The sequence below is a fragment of the Homo sapiens genome, chromosome 6 (genome assembly GCF_000001405.40).
Source record: "Homo sapiens chromosome 6, GRCh38.p14 Primary Assembly".
Taxonomy (NCBI): Eukaryota; Metazoa; Chordata; class Mammalia; order Primates; family Hominidae; genus Homo; species Homo sapiens.
In genome coordinates this window covers 107319657-107338603 of record NC_000006.12, presented here as the reverse complement: position 1 = coordinate 107338603, position 18947 = coordinate 107319657, and the positions used below count along the sequence as shown (strand labels likewise).

Here is an 18947-nt window from a genome sequence, read left to right as displayed (position 1 = left end):
TTAGTTGCTTCTTCTACATGCTGCCACAACCCTTATTCATCCCCTGAAACAATTCCTGCCACATTTTATTGTGATTTTTAAATCCAGACTACTATACACAAGAAGGGAGGCCACATCTTAACAGTGCTCCTCATCATATTCTCCACTGTCTGTTTAGCACCAAGCCTGGCATGCAGTGAGCATTCAGTACACTCTTGGCTGAATACGTTTGAGAACACCAACCTTACCATTTTCTAAGCTAGCCTTCCTAGATGTGGTGGTATGTGATTTCACCATTTTCTGGTTATGCCACAGCTTGTCAGTGTCCCTTAAGAGAAGCACTGAGAAAAAATTAGAGTGTTCCAGATGAAATATGACCTGTGCTACATGAAACATATTGTCTCTGTAAGTTTAGAATCCCATGTTTTTTGTTTGTTTGTTTGTTTTTTATTTGCTCTGGAGCAAAATTTCATATTCTCTTTTGGTTGTGAGCTAAATTTTGAGCTGTAGGCATTATCCACTTATTTCAGTACTGTTTTTTTAAGAGTGTTAACGAAGTGAATTTAAAGAAATGGTGTTTTGGAAACAGTTATTTAATTTACTCAAGCTGTTAGTCTATCCTCCAGATTGTTAACCACTGACTTATGTGAAAATTAATGGCCAGAAGATGTGCTTTTCTGAATGCTCTCTTAATTTTTGTCACCCAGTTCATTACAGCTTCTTTTCCTGACCTTTTCAGTAATGCATTCTGAAAGGGGTGTTTTCATGATTATCATTGAGATAATGATAATAATGATTAGGGGGTGGGAAGAATTCCTTAACTTTTGTTATTTGAGGAGGTAGAAAACTAAATAACATAGGAGATTATATATGCTAGTAGAGTGGGGAAGACTTTTTGAGAGTTACAAGGAGAAAGAGAGTAGAAGAAAGAAAATGTTAAGAGTTGAGAAAAAAATAAGATCACAAAAAAGTAACAAGGAAAGAAAATGTAATTTACTGATTACTTGATCACCAACCATGTGCTTCCACAGTGTTATGTACTTTGACCTATGTTGTCTCTTCCATACAATGACTATGAAAAGTAGACATTGTTACCCTCATTTTATACAAGAGGTCATAGCCTTAGAGTCACACTCACAGCTAGTAAATAACAGAAGACTTTTTCAGACCTAGGCTTGTCTGGTTCTAAAGCCAACTGTTCTAATTTGATGTAGCAAATGGTTTTGTACAAAGGAAGCAGATGGAGCATCACTACATAGCATAATGTTTAAAAGTGTATGTAGACTCTAGAGCCTGTTGGCCTGGGATCAAATCCTGGCTCTGTCATGGTTCTGCCACCTACCAGGTATGGTACCTTAGACAAGTTACTTGATTTCTCTCTGTGCCTCATTCCCCATCTGTAAAATCAGGATAATTGTAGTACCCTCCTCTTAGCATTGTGAATTAATTTAGTTAATATATAGTAAAACATGTAGAACAGTTTCTGACATATAGAAAGCAATGTATAAACCACAATATAAGTGTTTGCTGCTGCTATTATTATTATTTGTGTGTGTGTGTGTGTGTGTGTGTGTGTGTGTGTGTGGTATGTGAAAGGTCCTATTTCTGAGAAGTTTGAAGATATTGTTAAAACTGTTGTCAGGGCTGTTAAATCTGTGTGATTTGGTCAGACTTGTCTCAAGGTTCACCTCTTAGAGTTCTTGCTGAATCATATCCTTAATCCCTGACCAGGCCCAGCCCCGAACACACACACACACACACACACACACACACACACACACACACACACACACACACACCACACACCTCTTTTTCTTTTCCTTTTCTAGAATTGAAAGCCAATTCAGACCTTCTCTTTATTATAAAAGAAAGGAAGAATAAAGATTCACTATAGGTAATACATAAATAAGAATCTAGTAGCCTAAGTTAAAAGTTGTAATTCAAAGCAAAAAAAAATTTAAAAAGCTCTTCTTTTAACATTTTTGTGTTCTGTAATAGGATGCCTCTTAACCGCCGTAAAATTCAGGTTCATAGGATTTAAGCAGATTGTTACATGACAGTAAAGAGTTTGGGACATTTCTGATGATTATTTGTTTCTGTTGTGATGTAACTGTATTACTTTAACTTCCTTTTCCTAGGAAATTAGAATTTCTTTTTAAAAATCAGTTTAAACCCTTTTATCTTGATGAAGATTGCCTACTTGGTTAAGGACAGAATATAAGCAGAGAAAGCTATAGCTGTTACTTTGCAGAGAACCTAATGATTTGTCTTATTTTGAAACTAATGAAAGGTAAAAGGGGCCCCTTTTAAAAATTTCTGTTTGGAGACTGGAGGGGCAAAGATTTTCCTTTTTTTTTTTTTTTTTTTCTGAGACGGAATCTCGCTCTGTCACCCAAGCTGGGAGTGCAGTGGCTCGATCTCAATTCACTGCAACCTCTACCTCCTGGATTCAAGCGATTCTCCTGCCTCAGCCCCCTGAGTAGCTGAGATTACAGGTACCTGCCACCACGCCTGGGTAATTTTTGTATTTTTAGTAGAGACGGAGTTTCGCCATGTTGGCCGGGCTGGTCTCGAACCCCTGACCTCAGGTGATGCCCCACCCCCCACCCCCCCCACCCCGGGCATGAGCCACCATACCCAACCAAGATTTTTCTTAAGTAATGGACTAATTCATTATTTTTGGCTATGTTACCTTAATTAACTTAAATTGATTCTTTGTTCAAAAACTCAACAAGGAAGCCTTGATAATTCAGTCAAGTATTATAACACTAATTTTTGTTTTCTTACTGCATTCGAGAGCTATATTTGTATATTATTTATATATGCTGTAATCTATTTGATTAGTGCTCATGAGCATTGTTCTCAATATGACTTTACTGTAATATATTGCCCATAGTTTTCTAATTTTTTAAAACAATGCCATTTAGTTCTTGAATGACAACCATTTGTAATACTTTAAAAAGAAAATGTATTCCTGGGAAGTATTTCTAGCCTCAGGTATAGCAGAAATTATAAAAATTCAGTCCTCATGTCAAAAGATATGCCACATTCTAAGTTAAAGCCTTGTTGTTGCCTAGAATTATAATGTTTGTAAGTAATAAGCAACATTTTTGCTGATGGCATTCACTTTCATTTACTTATCAAATTTCTGCGTCTTTTGAATTTGGTTTAATCCTTTCATTCTCTGAGCTCCTTCTCTACCTGTGAAAACAAATCATTTTTTACTACTGTTTACCACCGTCATCACCAAATAGTATCACTTCATCCAAGCAATGTGATTTATATGTCAGTTTCTTTCAACTGTCACAAACCGGTTTAAAACTATGGGTTCTTCTTGTTACCAGAGCAAATGATTAAGATTGTGAGATAGGGTATAGACAGCGGGGAGACCCAGAAAGAGGAGAGAGCAAATGAGGAAGCCTCAAATGTGAGATTGTCACTTTTTTTTTTTTTTTTTTTTTTTGGAAACAGAGTCTCAATCCGTCTCCCCATCTGGAGTGCAGTGGCGCCATCATGGCTCACTGCAGCCTCAGCACCCCCCCAACCCTGGGCTCAAATCATTCTCCGTCGTCAGCCTCCTGAGTAGCTGAGACTACAGGCACATGCCACCATGCCCAGCTTATTTTTCTATTTTTTGTAAGGACGGGGTTTCACCATCTTGTCTGGGATGGTCTCAAGCTCCTAGGCTCATCTGACCACCTTGGCCCCCCAAAGCACTGGGATTACAGACCTGAGCCACTGCCACCAGCGAGATTGTCGCTTTTAAAACTGGCCATGGGCTGGGCATGGTGGGTCACGCCTGTAATCCCAGCACTTTGGGAGGCTAAGGCAGAAAGATTGCTTGTGTCCAGGAGTTCAAGACCAGTCTGGGCAACATAGCAAGACTCTGACTCTACGTTTTTTTTTTTTTTTTTTAATTAGCTGAGCATCGTGGTGCATACCTAAAGTTCCAGCTACTAGGGAGACTGAGGTGGGAGGATCGCTTAGGACCGGGAGGTTGAGGCTGCAGTGAGTTGAGATTGTGCCACTGCACTCAGCCTGGGTGACAGAGCAAAACCCTGTCTCAAAAACAACAACAACAACAACAACAACAACAACGCAGCCGTAGATTTCTCTAGTTGTTTCCTGAACTCATGGCATCCTCACATTAATTTTCCTCCCTGACCCTGTTTCTTTTCAGTAAGTCTCATTGTCCAGTTTTAGAAGTGTGGGCATCTTTGTAGCAGTTTTCTAAGTTATCTGATGATCTCGTGAGGGTATATTAATCCTCTTCCTTCTTTGCTTGTTGGCAGGGGGCTTGTACATGACAGCTGGAATAGCCTCCAGTTGAGGGGCTTGGTGGTGCTCCTTATCTCTAAAGCAGCTGGGCCCAGCAGCGTGAACACTTCATGTCAGAACTATGACATGGTCAGTGGGATCTACTCATGGTAAGAAGAATTTAGTCTTTTGACATTGCTCTCTACATCGTGTTTTCTTTTACTGGACAGAGGTCAGTGGAAATCACCATTCTTTGTCATTCTCTGATTCAAAGATAGATTAAAATATAAGGTTAAAAATGGATTTTTATTGTTCATAATAAGTGATAGTCTTGGCCAACTCTACACATAACTCTGGTAAATTTCTTCACACATTTGTGTGAAATACTTTCCTTTCTACTTTGGGCATTTAAAATTTTCTGTTCATCACTTCTCCCTCCCCTTATTATGTATTGTTGTGTCTCTGTAGAGACCTCTGTGCCACTTAGTTCAGGATCTATGATTTTTAAATCTACTCAAAATGACACCTTGTTGGCCGGGCACAGTGGCTCACACCTGTAATTCTAGCACTTTAGGAGGCCAAGCCTGGTGGATCACTTGAGACCAAGAGTTTGAGACCAGCCTGGACAACATGGTGAGCCCTCATCTCTACAAAAAATTTAAAAATTAGCTAGTTGTGGTGGTATGTGCCTGTAGTCCCTGTTACTCAGGAGACTAAAGCAGGAGGATTGCTTGAGGCCAGGGAGGTTAAGCCTGCAGTAAGCCCTAATCGTGTCACTGCCCTCCAGCCTGGGTAACAGAGCAAGACTCTATCTCAAAATAAAATAAGATAAAATAATACCTCATTGTATAAAGATTGATGCTACTGTCATTTTAAGAGCTGTAGTCTACTTTTTTACTGGTTATTGGATTAAAAAATTTTTACATCTCATGTATTTAGATTAAAAAACAAATTTGTAAGTATGTATTACTCATTTTTTGCTGCATATAAAATAAACTTAAAATTTTCAGTTTTGTTTAAAAAAATCACTGGATATATTTTTAGTAACAGTATGTCAGCAATAATTTTACTTAATTCTAGCAATATGCTTGGCACTGTATTAAAAGCCTGTATAGATGTAACAATCAACAGGTAGACTTTGGCATATGAAATTAAAACCAGCCTAACAATATGGGTGATAAAGAAATTTTCCTCACAAGAAGAAGCATTTCTAGGAACTTTGACTTATGGCTAATTGACCTTGTTGATTTACTTTAAAAATAAATCTATTTTTTTTAAATTTTATTTCTAGTGGTCTTGTCCATAAATGTTTTCTGTTCCATAATATTTAGGGATTACTGTTGCTTGCCAGCCAGAAATTCAATGATCCTTCCTCATTAGCAAGCAAGCGAAATGATTACTGTTGTGACTACAAATGCCCATTCCTCCAGCCAATATAATTTTTTGTAAACCTTTTACCATTCATCCATACAAATACCCTTCACTATAAGGGATGTCTTGTGATCACCTATTCACTCTGAAATGGTTCATATTTGTTTAGTGCTTTTAGGTTACTAAGCATTTTTATGACAGCTATTCCATTTGGTTCTTATAATAATGCCATAGTAAGAGTTGTTAAGCTTATTTTACTCAAGAAAACAGATTCAAAAATTTTGAGGCTTTTTCTGGTGACACAACTGGTAATGGGGAGAGTTGAAGCTCTAACTGTAGTTCTCATGTTCCCTCCAAACCTCATTGTTGGTTTTTTTTTTCTTGATTACATTCTACCTTTCTAATCTATTTCAAAATATATATGTATTTCAGTTATAGATCAGACTAGCATTAAATTAGTATGTTAAAAAAAGTCATCTTGTAAGCATATCTTTAAAAACTTTTAAATGGAAAACTCTTTGGCACATCTTTAGTACATCTACATCCTTTCCCAAAACCTGCTTGAGTTAGAGCTCAAAAGTTTACCTTACAGGCCAGGTGTGATGGCTGATGCCCATAATCCCAGCACTTTGGGAGGCTGAGGCAGATGGATAATGTGAGTCCAGGAGTTCAAGACCAGCCTGGGCAACATGGAGAAACCCAGTCGCTACAAAAAATATAAAAAATTAGCCAGACATGGTGGCATGTGCCTGTAGTCCCAGCTATTCAGGAGGCTGAGGTGGAAGGATCGCTTGAGCCTTGGAGTCAGAGGTTGCAGTGAGCTAAGATTGCGCCATTGCATTCCAACCTGGGCAACAGAATGAGACCCTGTCTCAAAAAAAAAAAAAAAAGTTTACCTTATAAATTTTGTAGAAAACTCTTGGCTAAGTTTAGTTGAGATAACTAGAGAAAATATATAAAAATTTAGAGTGAGTACTAACTACCTGTTAGTCCCTGGAAAGCAAATGGACCTCACATTGCCTTGTATCCCATATATCTCTGTTTTCGGTTAGGAATTCCATTGATTTTCAGTCTGCTGACTTTGACCCTTTCTTATTAGTCATCTGCTTGTATATTTGGATAACCACACATACAGATAATGAGCACCTACTATTTTTTTTATCTCTAATCCTAAAATAATCCTTGCAAAATACTACTTGATACATAGTAAATATTCAATAAATATTTGTTACATAAGTAAGTTATTCCTATTTTACAGAAGAGATTGCTAATACTCAGGTTGACTTATCTGAAATATTTTAGCTAGAAAGTGATAGAGTTGGGATTGAAATCCCATTTTTATCTCAAAGTGTATACTCTTTCTACTCAGCAGGAGCTATTAATCTGTATGCACATGGTGCACTGTGATGTAACCTTGTGTTTCTAATTCTTGTCTAGCCTCTAGGAAACAATTTCATTGCTTTTGGTCCTTCACATAACATGTTGGCAGATGGTCATTATAATCCAAGCAATTTGACTAAAAGAACTTTGGAAAAGAGTAGGGGTACGTTGTGAACATGAAACCTTTCCAAATAACATAAATGGGCTTTATACTCAAGTGTATAGAATCCACAGTTACATTTAGGGAATAATCCTGGCATGTAAACCCAGGCTATTTTCTATAATCAAACTTCATCTAGTAGGTCATTGGGGGTGTTTGGGTGTTTTACACACTTGTTAATGTGAAAAAGTAATTTGGTATAGTGCTATGAGAAACCATTAATTTGTTTCTCTACCCCTGAAGTCATTTGTTTAGCTCTTGCTTCCTTAATTGTTCAAGTGTAACTTTTGCTGGAGTCTTGTATCTATAATGCTACAGTGAATTATTTAACATTTGAGGGAAGTACTAATTTGGGAGCTTTTTAATTCACCTCCAAACTACTGGGATTTACCTTGTTGGTATTTTTTCTCTCATAAAACTTGACTTTGATATCAGATAACGGGACCTGAGTAAATTACCTGAAGGACCAAATGGGAGTTAGGTGATCTCTTTTGTTTGGCCTAAGGATATAATTGGTGCTGTGGATGTCTAGTGAACTAATCATATAACAGCCAGGAGAGGCAGAATTTAGGCTAAAATGTAATAACTACATTTTGAAAATCGGGCAAGAAAGCCACATTTATAAAAATGTACTGTAAACATTCGCCATAGCCTTTTGCCAACAAGACTGTGAACTTTAGGTTTATTCCACTAACCTTGACTTTTAAAAAATTGGTTGCAAAGCCAGTCAAGTATTACTAAATTTACAGTTATCCCTAGCTACAATCAAGAAAATGTTTACAACTTCCCATTCTATTAGTAATAGCATAGTTTTATTTTGTGTACAAAAGATAGTTTATTACAATATATAATGCATATTAAAAACTATAGATTTTTCTCATGATATGATTATTAAGTTTACAGAAATTCACGTGAATATTTTGGCTGATGGTTCCACTTTCTCGGTTGTTTTATCAAGAACTGACTCAATCTTCTCTTCTAACTAGTAGTTAAAAGCAGACCACAGACTGAACATATTTGCACTCTACTTTCATTTCCTGAAGTTTCCCAGCACCTTAACTGGTAGAAGAGACTGAAGCAAGTATGCCAAACGCACTTTCTTTTCTTCTTGAGTACCCGGCTAGACTACATTTCTCAGCTTCCCATGCAGGTGGCTGGCCATGTGACTGAGATCTAGCCAATAGAGTAGGAGTAGAAGTGATATTTACTATTTCCTGGCCATAAAAATGTTGCATCTGTAATACTCCTTAAGCAGATGATCTGGGAAGTGACCCATTCAAGATGAAAGTTGCCTGTGTCCCTGAATCACTCTTGAAGGAAAGTCACCTGCCCATCAGGAACATCCATACAGACTAGATGTATGAGAAGAAAAATCTATTTGTTAAGCCACTTAAATTTTAGGGTTTATCTGTTGACAGCAGCAAATGTTACCTTTTTCCTTTTTTTTTTTTTTTTTGAGACAGAGTCTCGCTCTATCACCTAGGCTGGAGTGAAGTGATGCAGTCTCGGCTCACTGAAGCCACTGCCTCCCAGTTTCAAGCAATTCTCCTGCCTGAGCTACCCAAGTAGCTGGGATTACAGGCGCCCGCCACTGCACCCTGCTTCTATACCTCACAAAGACGTGGGGTATAGAAGTACCTAGCAGGGCCCAGAACAGTACCAACATTGTAATTAATAGGCACTCAGTACATAACTGTTACATGATTGTATGAATTTATGGAAAAGAGACTAGCTTCATTATGTATGCAGGTATTATGGATTGAATTTTACCCTCCCAAAATTCATGTGTTGAAGTCCTAACCCCTAGTACCTCACAATGTGACCTTATTAGGAGAAAGGATCTTTACAGAGCTAATCAAGTCAAAATGAGGTCATTAGAATAGGCCCTAACTCAATATAACTGGCATCCTTATAAAAAGGGGAAATTTGGACATAGATATGCATATACAGGGAGAATGCCCTGTGAACTGAAGGCAGCCATCTACAGGCCAGCCTCACAGCCCTAGAAACTCATATATGAGAAGCAGGGAATGAAGATGAGGTGGAAAGGAAAGGTTGAAGTCACACTGTGAAGGGCCTGAGGAATTAGGGCGATATCCTGGATAAATTGTGGGGAGTTCAAGAGGCAGCAGAGTGGACTTGGAATCTGGAAGCTGACTGCACCACCTGCTAGCCGCACCTCAGTATGTACTTCACAGAATGGTTTTCAGAATTAAACGAGTGAGTAGAATACTGCATGGCATAGTAAGCATTCTGTAAGTGTTTGCTCTTATTCTTAGCTATTATCAAAAAGGTGTTTAAGCAAAAGGGGTCATGTTACTGTATCTGTGCTATGGAACATAATTAGCTGACGCTTAGAAGGTGACCCTGAGAGGTGAGGTCCAAGATAGAGAGTCAGCCAGGGAATTAGTGAAGTCGTCTAGGCAAAAGCTGAGAGGGAAAGCAGAGACATGGAGAGGGGTTGGAGCTGTTGCCCATAGCAAGCAGTTAAAAATTGGCTGAGCCAGACCTGAACCCACTGGGTCCTTTGATTTCATGCCTTTTTCTTGTTAGCATTTACCAATTTTTCTTCCAGAGCTTAAGTTGTAACTAGGTGTTCAGTGGGACAAAAGGTTCTGGGATCAAATAAGTGTGGGCATGCCAGGTTAAACAGAGTTAGAGAGATTCCTTCATTTGAGAATTCTTAGGAGTTAGGTACGGATTTATGTATCATGACTCTGAGATATTGTTTCCCAGTCATTTGACTACAGAACCCATTGGTCCCTGTCAGTAGTAGTACACCTTGTGGAAAGCGGCAAAAGTTTGGTAAATGTTTCTCTGTATCAGCATGCCTAACTTTGAATCCTAATGAGAACTCTGTGAGGCAGAAATAACAGTTTCAGGCTGGGCACGGTGGCTCACACCTGTAAACCCAGCACTTTGGGAGGCTGAGGTGGGTGGATCATTTGAGGTCAGGAGTTCGAGACCAGCCTGGCCAACGTGGTGAAACCCCATCTCTACTAAAATAAAAAAGAAAAGAAAAGAAAACAGTTTCACCAATGAGAAAACTGAGACTCAGGTGAAGTAACTTTCCGAGGTCCCACATTAAGTAGTCAAGTAGAGGAAGAAATATGTATATTGGTTATAAATTGTCTGGGTTCAAATCCTTGTTTCATCACTTACTAGCTGTGTGACCCCAGACAAGTTAGATAACCTCTCTGTGCCTCATGTCTATTAAGTGGATTAAATAAGTTAATACATCGAGAACCCTTAGAACAGTGCCTCATACATAGAATATGCTTCCAAATGTGGTTTATTATTGCCATTCCAGACCCCAGTCATGCTGCTTCATGGTCTTTATTAGATTTCCCACTCCTTCAGAGTAGGCACTTAGCTTTGTATACCTTTACAACTCACCAATGCCTTGGACATAGTATTCATTTAAATCTCTATCTGGATGACTGGATCTTCTGTATAACATAAGTGTTTTAGACTGACGCAAACATTTGAAACACATGTTTTACAGTGTAAGTCTTACAGAGTAGTTTAACATGGACGATGACTTAAAGGGATGGCAGTTTATTATGTCCTTTGCAACCTGTAGTTCAGGATGTGAGCTATAACCAGATTCTAAAGCATTCTTCATGAAACAATCTTAATTTTTAAGCTAGTTATTATGTGAAGCAATATAATATATTTAAAGAAGGAAAAGAAAAGTGTTGACCGGGCACCATGGCTCATGCCTGTAATCCCAGCACTTTGGGAGGCCGAGGCAGGTGGATCACAAGGTCAGGAGTTCAAGACCAGCCTGGCCAAGGCGGTGAAACCCTGTCTCTACTAAAAATACAAAAAAATTAGCTGGGCATGATGGTGGGCGCCTGTAATCCCTGCTATTCAGGAGACTGAGGCAGAGAATTGCTTGAACCTGGGAGGTGGAGGTTGCAGTGAGCCAGGTTCGTGCCACTGCACCCCAGCCTGCCTGGCCCTGTCCAGGGAAATTTTTTAAGTCTCATCAAAAGTTTATTTTATTTTTCCTTCATATTTCAACCAATTCCTTTTTCTACTACACTTTCTTTGCCCACCTCTGTTATCTGCAGCTTCAATTCTGGTATCTATAAGTCTTGAAGTTTTACTGATAGGTTTTAGACTCTCCTGAGTTTGTGTTACCCTTAACTCCATTTCCTCTAAGCAGCAGTGGGTAGAGAATATGCTGCTGCTGGGGACCCAGTGCAATGATGATGTTCCCACTGCTTCAGAATTGCAGCATAGGGACCTGCTGGACCACATCCAACTGCGAGACACACCTGCCAATCTGAGGAAAAAAACACTGAATTGAATTAAAGATCTGCAGTGTCCTGGGACACACATATTCATTTATAGAAGTGTAGCCACCTTCTTTTTACCCACCTTGCTCTGTCTCTAATCTGTTTGCTATAGAGATCAATTCAGGTACAAGTAGAATATGCAAGAATGAAAAAACATTAAATGAGTAATTGAATGAGAAGTAAAGTCATCGTTGGCATTTCTTCTTTTTAGATGGTCTATTTGCCAGGATACATAATGGATACTGACCAATTTTAAAGCATACCAATTCTATCTGTAAAACAACTACTTTTTTTTTTTTTTGAGACAGAGCCCTGCTCTGTCACCCAGAATGTAGTGCAATGGCATGATCTCGGCTCACTGCAACCTCCACCACCCAGGTTCAGATGATTCTCCTGCCTCAGCCTCCCAGGTAGCTGAGATTACAGGTCTGCACCACCACGCCTGGCTAATTTTTCTATTTTTAGTAGAGACAGGGTTTCACCGTGTTGGCCAGGGTGGTATTGAACTCCTAGCCTCAAGTGATCTGCCCTCCTTGGCCTCCCAAAGTGCTGGGATTACAGGCGGAGCCACTGCGCCCAGCCAAAACAACTATTTTTATCTTATTACCTATGTGACTTCTGGGTGGCAGGTGAGTTGGCGAATAAGAAGAAAATCATGACCGAACATTTTCTGTATTTATTTGTAATGCTGATAAGAGAAGACTGTGTCCTCTATGTGCTTTTAAACATAGTTCAGATGATTGGACTGGGTGCAGTGGCTTACGCCTGTAATCCCAATACTTTGGGAGGCCAAGATGGGCAGATCACTTGAGGTCAGGAGTTTGAGACCAGCCTGGCCAACATGGCAAAATCCCGTCTCTACTAAAATACAAGAAAAAAAAATTAGCCAGGCATGGTGGTACCTGCCTGTAAGTCCCAGCTACTCGGGAGGCTGAGGCAGGAAAATCACTTCAACCCGGGAGACGGAGGTTGCAGTGAGCCAAGATTGTGCCACTGCACTCCAGCCTGGGCAACAGAGCAAGACTCTGTCTCAAAAAAAAAAAAAAAAGAAAAAAGAAAAAACATAGTTCAGATAATTGTATTTTATCCGTATTACCTCAGCATTCAGCATGTTTCTAGCATATAGATAGCAATGACTATTTGATCATGGCTGAATAATTGTCACTAGTAGTGGTAGTATTTATCTCAGAGCAGGGAGGACTTTATGAAAAAGTTCCAAAACTTGACACTATAAATGAAAAGATTAACACATTTGCACAAAAAATAACTCTTCAGTGGAAAAAATTCCCATGAAGTCAAAAGACAAAGCCCAAATTACAAAAATGTTTACAACATACATGACCAAAAGCCAAGTTGTAACCTACAAATCAATTGAAAATCTTATAAATCGGGAAGAAGAAAATTACAACACAAACATGGACAAAAGACATGAACAGGTAGTTAGCTTAGAAACCCTATCCTGTAATTAGAATGAGGGCTTTGGAGTCCCTGGGCTGACCTGAACTTTTATCCTTTGGCCTCTTTGACCAGATCAAATATCCTGTGAAAATGCATAAACTACAAATAAAAATAATAAAGTATAAAAAAAATTATTTTTGTTAAAAAAAGCAGGAATGAAGTAAAATGCTATCTTTAGATTAGCTTTTTAAAATTTGCCATCTGTTCAAATGGACACCATCAATTTCTTCGCATTTGTGCTAATTCTTCACTCTACTCGGTGTATTCAATTGATTAAGGTTAAATTAATGATATGCAGGTAGTCCCTGGCTTACCATGATGCAACTTAAAATTTTCTGACTTTTAAATGGATTTATCAGGACATAACCCCATTGTAAGTCAAGAAACACCTGTACATACTGAGGTAATTGTTGGGCTTCAAGAACTTATCACAAAAATCATCATAAACATAACTATAAGTTAAATCTAGAAACATCTTAAAATCAAATTACAGATCTTAACATTACTTTCTCCTCTAAGTGAAAATTGGTTACGCTTAGTGTGGTGTTAGAGGAAGTGATAGAATATTTGGAGGCCTGTGTGAAATAATCTTAAGGAGAGAAGGGAGAATATAAAAAGCTGTGAAAGAGGCCGTTTTTTTTTCTATAAACCTTTACATTTAGGGAATTGCACTTGGTCTCAGCTGCAAATATTGTAGTTCATAATTTATCATTTTAATGTGGTACTAATTAGCATCTGACGACTTCTAATTATAGTAACAATAGGCTGTGACTATCTATCCATCCTCACCTTCATTCCACACATTAGAATTCGTCTAGCACTTCAAAATGCCAAACAAAATTAACAAACTGTATTTCCCTTGGGGACTGATCAAATCAAAAAACATCTTAAGAAATGAGGCTTAAGGCAGAACATGTTGATCATGTTATTTATTTAGGGTCAATTATATAAACATGAAATAGGTAATATTCAAATATGTAGCATTTTAAAAATCAGTTATGGTTTTGTTTTGTTTTTAAGATAACATGTGAATGCAAACAAAGAGTCTGGAAGGAACCTTACTCACCTGCTAATAACAGTGGTTGAAGAAAGAAGGGGTTGGAGAGGTTTGGAAACAGATATAAGGGAATGGTCTAAAGGTGACTTTATTTGTAGTATTTCAGTTTTTTAATAACCTATTCATGTTATTTTGTATAACTAAATTTAAAAATGAAAAAGTTATATTTCATACTTGTAAAGCAATAAAAGCCTATTTAAGAAACGTATCTTTTTGTACTACAAGAACCTTAAAAATGAGGAGCGCTTATTGACAGTGATTTTAAATGATTATGCAGAATAATTGAATTTAGTGTAGGCTTTTGGAAATAATTTCCTAAAGATATCTCAGCTCCTTTTCAGATAAATCTCAAGAGATGAAAGCATGTGCAATTTGATTACATATTCCTATTGATTGTATTCTACTTACAACAGTAAATGTAAACTCCAGATACAAATCTAGTAATATTACTAATTCATTACAACCAGTACTTATTTTCTTCATTAAGTTTTTATTGTTATGTTCAACTTGCACAGCATGCACAAATGCAGCAATTATATGTTGAGAAAGAAAAGGGAAGGCTCTTTATGTTTAACATACTGTACGTCAGAAGTCATTACTTCACCAGAGCTTTTGGAAAAACACAAAATAGGATCAGCTTCTTACAAAACAGTATAATTAACCACAAAAAGTAGGTGGGCTTACCTACTAATCTACTCAGCTGAGTTAGTTTATTGCATGTAAATAACATGATATAGATTAGCCTGCCTAATCTATCACAGCAAAACACAAGCTGCATAAATTGTTTTTGTTAATAGTAAAAAATTTTAAAATCCTTTCCTTAAAGAAGGGCTGTATGTTGACTGGTAAGTAGCCAAAGTTAAAGGCACTGTCCAGTGACTAATTCTACATTTTAAACAGTGCTTAATTTTGGGCATTCATCATGTGATAGAAGTTGTGCAAATCACTTAAAATATTAATTTTATTGGCAGAGTCAGCTTAGTAGCTTCATGACTTAATGGTGATCCTTTGAACTCATACGGAAGGCATCTCAGTGGTAAACAGTGTGTCATAATAAAGGCATAGATGAAGGGCCAGAGATCTGGGTTCTTGTCTCAATTCTGCAATTGATTAGCTATTTGACCTTAAGTAAGTTACTTAATCACTCTTTGAAATTACTCATCTGTACAGCAGGGGCAATGATGGGCTTCAAACCAGGAGCTTAACTAACAGGGTACACATCTAGATAGGTTCAACTATCCTGTGGTCCAGAATAAGTCACCCTGACCACCTCCTGTCTCTGCAAGGCACAGCACTGGACACTGAAAGACACTGAATATTTCTTATGAATAAGAAATAGTCTTTGACCTCAAATGAGTAGGTAAGGAAACAATGTATGCATCTAGAGTCTTCCTGACACTTGCTATTGATGTAATTTCCTTTCTAAAACTCTTTTGCTGGAACTTAACTACTAGAGCTATTTCCACAGTCACCATTGGGTTCACAATCCACCCATGTCCACTGATAAACCCTTTGTTTAACTAAAGGTAGGTAGTCTTTAACACCCCTCACATAAGATGATAGGTGAGAGCTGACATCTGTAGGTGGCTTAGTGCCTAAGAAATGTCTTCCTCACTGTGCTCTTGGACTTTCCTTCTCACTCCTGAAAGTGGGTGGTGTTGATAATAGAGGCAAAGAGGGCAGATTCTCTGATTGGTTATCTCTAATCCTGGCATCCTCCCTCTCTATAGTTACTGGAATCTTAAGTCTCCCTTTTCTGTTGTTAAGATTTCCCTCATTCCCTCCTCTTCTCAAGGTTTTTGTTTTTTGTTTTTTGAGACAGGGTCTCCCTCTGTTGCCCAGGCTGGAGTGCAGTGGAACGATAATGGCTCACTGCAGCCTCAATGTCCCGGGCTCAAATGAGTAGCTGAGACTACAGGTGCATGTACCATGCCTGGCTAATGTTTTTGTATTTTTTGTAGAGAGGTGTTTTTGCCATGGTGCCCAGGCCTGTCTCAGACTCCTGGGCTCAAGTGAGCCACCCACCTGGCTCTCCAAAGTGCTGGGATTACAGGCATGAGCCACCACACCCGGCCTCAAGTTTTTTTGTTGTTGTTGTTTTGTTTGTTTGCTTTTTCTTTTGAGATAGTCTCACTCTGTCACCCAGGCTGGAGTACAGTGGCCCGATCACAGCTCACTGCAACCTCCACCTCCCAGGCTCAAGTGATTCTCATGCCTCAGCCTCTCAAGTAACTGGGATTACAGGTGTGCGCCTTCATGCCCGGCTATTTTTTTGTATTTTTAGTGGAAACGGGATTTCACTGTTGGTCAGGCTGGGCTCAAACTCCTGGCCTCAAGTGATCCACCTGCCTTGGCCTCCCAAAGTGCTGGGATTACATACATGAGCCACCACACCTGGCCTGGCCTCAAGTTTTTAAGTGGAGTAAAACATCCTTAACTCTTCAATTGCATTCCCTACAGGATTAGATACAAATTCCTTAACACAGCAACAGGCAATTCCTAACAGCCCTAGAGTGGATGTGAGGAAGATAAAAGCATGATTAATGTTTTTCTTTGTCATCAAGAAAAGGGTATGTGCAAGAGTGTAGGTTGATCTAATATGATTGTTTAGGCCCCATCAGGTAGGAAGTGAGGTTGAGGGAGCCCAAAACTAGAGAGAAAGTAGTGATCAAGGGACTGGAGATCATGATGAATCAGTTTGCAGGGGTGGAAGTGGTAATGCAATGAAAGAGCAGAAAAGACAGTAGGTTTTAGATGGAAAGTTGGATATCCAAGTGGAGATTTCAAAAGTGGAACAGTTCTGATTGGTTATGTTCAGTTGTGCCTTAAAGTGGGTTTCACAGAATACAGTGGAGGTGGTTGAATTGAGTATATTGAAAAACTGTAGGGTGGGCAATTCACATGATTGAAGTCAACCAGAACAACAGAACTGAGACTTCAATAAATGTAGAGGCACAGAGAAGAGGAGTGATGGCAGAAGTAGAGCTGGTTTCAAAGGAACAGTGGTTTTCACCAAAATGAGGAAATAAGGGGAGCACTGAGCACTGGTCCCACCTCTCAGCTCCTCAGTTTGTGGCTTGTAGAAGTTAGGCATATCTGCTCATGAACATATAGGATTTGGACACTCCGGGAAAAGCCGTGGTGTATTTAGAGCTAGAACATAGAAGAAAGGTTCTGTGAAATCTTAAAACACTTAACACATTGTTTGTAATGACTGTTTTGTAAATACTGATTTATGTATGTTTTCTTACTAAACAGTACCTTCTAGAAGTCAGGGTTTGTGTCTTAATCATCTTCCAACCTATCACCTCTCCCTCCACTGAGGCCTCTATTACATTTTGTACCTTTGAGGCACTTCTCGTCTATTTTATAGTAATCTGCATATTTATCTTGTCCCTCTGCTAGATTTGTTCCTTTGCTCATTCATTCATTCATTCAACAAACATTTATTGAACACCTGCTGTGTGCAAAGCTAACTATAATAAATATAGAAATATAATTATTACTATAGCTAACACATATAGAGTTTTCTATAAGTCTGCTACTGTTCCATATTCTTTATATATATTAGTGCATTTATTTAACATTTAACATTGGTTAAGAAATTGCTTTTCTTGGTAAACAGGCTTAAAGAAATTTAATAACGTGCTCAAGTTTATAGTGTAAGAAAATCACAGAGTTGAGTTTCAAATCCCATTTGACCATAGAATTCATGCTCTTTCCATTACTGTAGACAACCTATGAAGTAGGGTGCCTTACATATACTTTCTTAGTCATCTTGACATCCTCAGTATAGTGGACAGACATCAGGTTATAAACTTTTTCTTTGACCTCCAAAGCCCCAGCACTATGGTGGGCACTCAAGTGCTCCATGTATTATTGTTGATTTATTGAGACAAAATTTTCTTAGGGGGTTGAATGTGGATTTTGGTGGGGCTCTATATAATTTAAAAATAAAAACGTTTATGTTTGCAGGCCATTATCTCTATTACTGCATGTTTCCTTTCACACATTTATTCTTTATATGTTGTGAAACACAGATATTTATATATTTTCTTTGACACAAGAACCTTTTTTTAAAATAGACTTGTGCCCTAAGCAGATATTCTGTCTAATGGGCTTTCCCTATAGACAAAGAGTAAAGTGTATTTCATTTGTCATTAGTCCTGAAATGTCAGTGCTGCAAATTTTGTTATTTTTGGAAACCATTACATTCATACTCATTAGAGACAACATTTCAAGGAAATACTTGAATGATTATGCACCTACAAGATTTTCTCTTGTCCATGAGTAATTTGTATCCTGTAATAATATGGAGCTTCTATTACTCTATTATAATTACTTACATATTTGTTGCAAATAATGATGTAATGGATTTTTTTGAGGCTGTACGTGAGAACCAACAAACTGCGACGCAAAACAAGTTTCCACCCCTTTTTTCCAAAGCTATAGTTAATCACTTGAACACTATCCAATATAGTAGAAAGCTGGCAGACTTTTCTTTGCAGCAGGCTATGTAAAAATGTTTATAATTTACAGCTTATTATGCCATGCAAACGACTGTGTTCCCAATGAAGGCGAGTGAGAAAATATGGCTGTTAAATTACTTAACTCCTCTTTGTTACTTGTTTTCTGGCAACAGTGGAAGGATACTTTGCACTTAAAATGCATTTCTGTATTTAATTTTATACCATTCAACTCAGAACTTTAAAAAATAGGGATTTGCTTTTTTATCTCTCTCTATAGATAGACCAGACCAATTTAAATTTAACAAAAACAGTAAGCTGAAAAATCAGAATTGTCAGGGAATGAAAATGTAATAATACAAAATTATTAGGGTTTAATTCAATTTAGGGCTTTAACTTTGCAAAACCTTTGTTACTGACACGTCTGCAACGGTTTATAGGCAGCTTGTTATTTTCAAAGGTACTTTATGCAAACTTTGTTTTATATTGTCTGCAGCGCTTTGGCTGAAAGTTGA

General features: G+C 38.1%; 1 protein-coding gene across 15 annotated transcripts in view; it reads left to right on the top strand.

Moving 5' to 3' along the window:
• The window catches only part of PDSS2 (decaprenyl diphosphate synthase subunit 2), a 307003-nt gene that overhangs the window by 120961 nt on the left and 167095 nt on the right, over positions 1-18947 (top strand). For 10 of the 15 annotated variants that reach the window (XM_011535960.4, XM_047419098.1, XM_011535961.4 and 7 more), the window contains one exon: positions 4272-4406. The exons of 4 other annotated variants lie outside the window; for them this stretch is intronic. In XM_011535960.4, the coding sequence (XP_011534262.1) occupies positions 4384-4406 (23 nt within the window). In that variant the 5' untranslated portion in view covers positions 4272-4383. Of the gene's footprint in view, positions 1-4271; positions 4469-18947 lie in introns of all 15 variants that reach the window. One more of the 15 variants, XM_047419100.1, reaches the window with a different exon arrangement.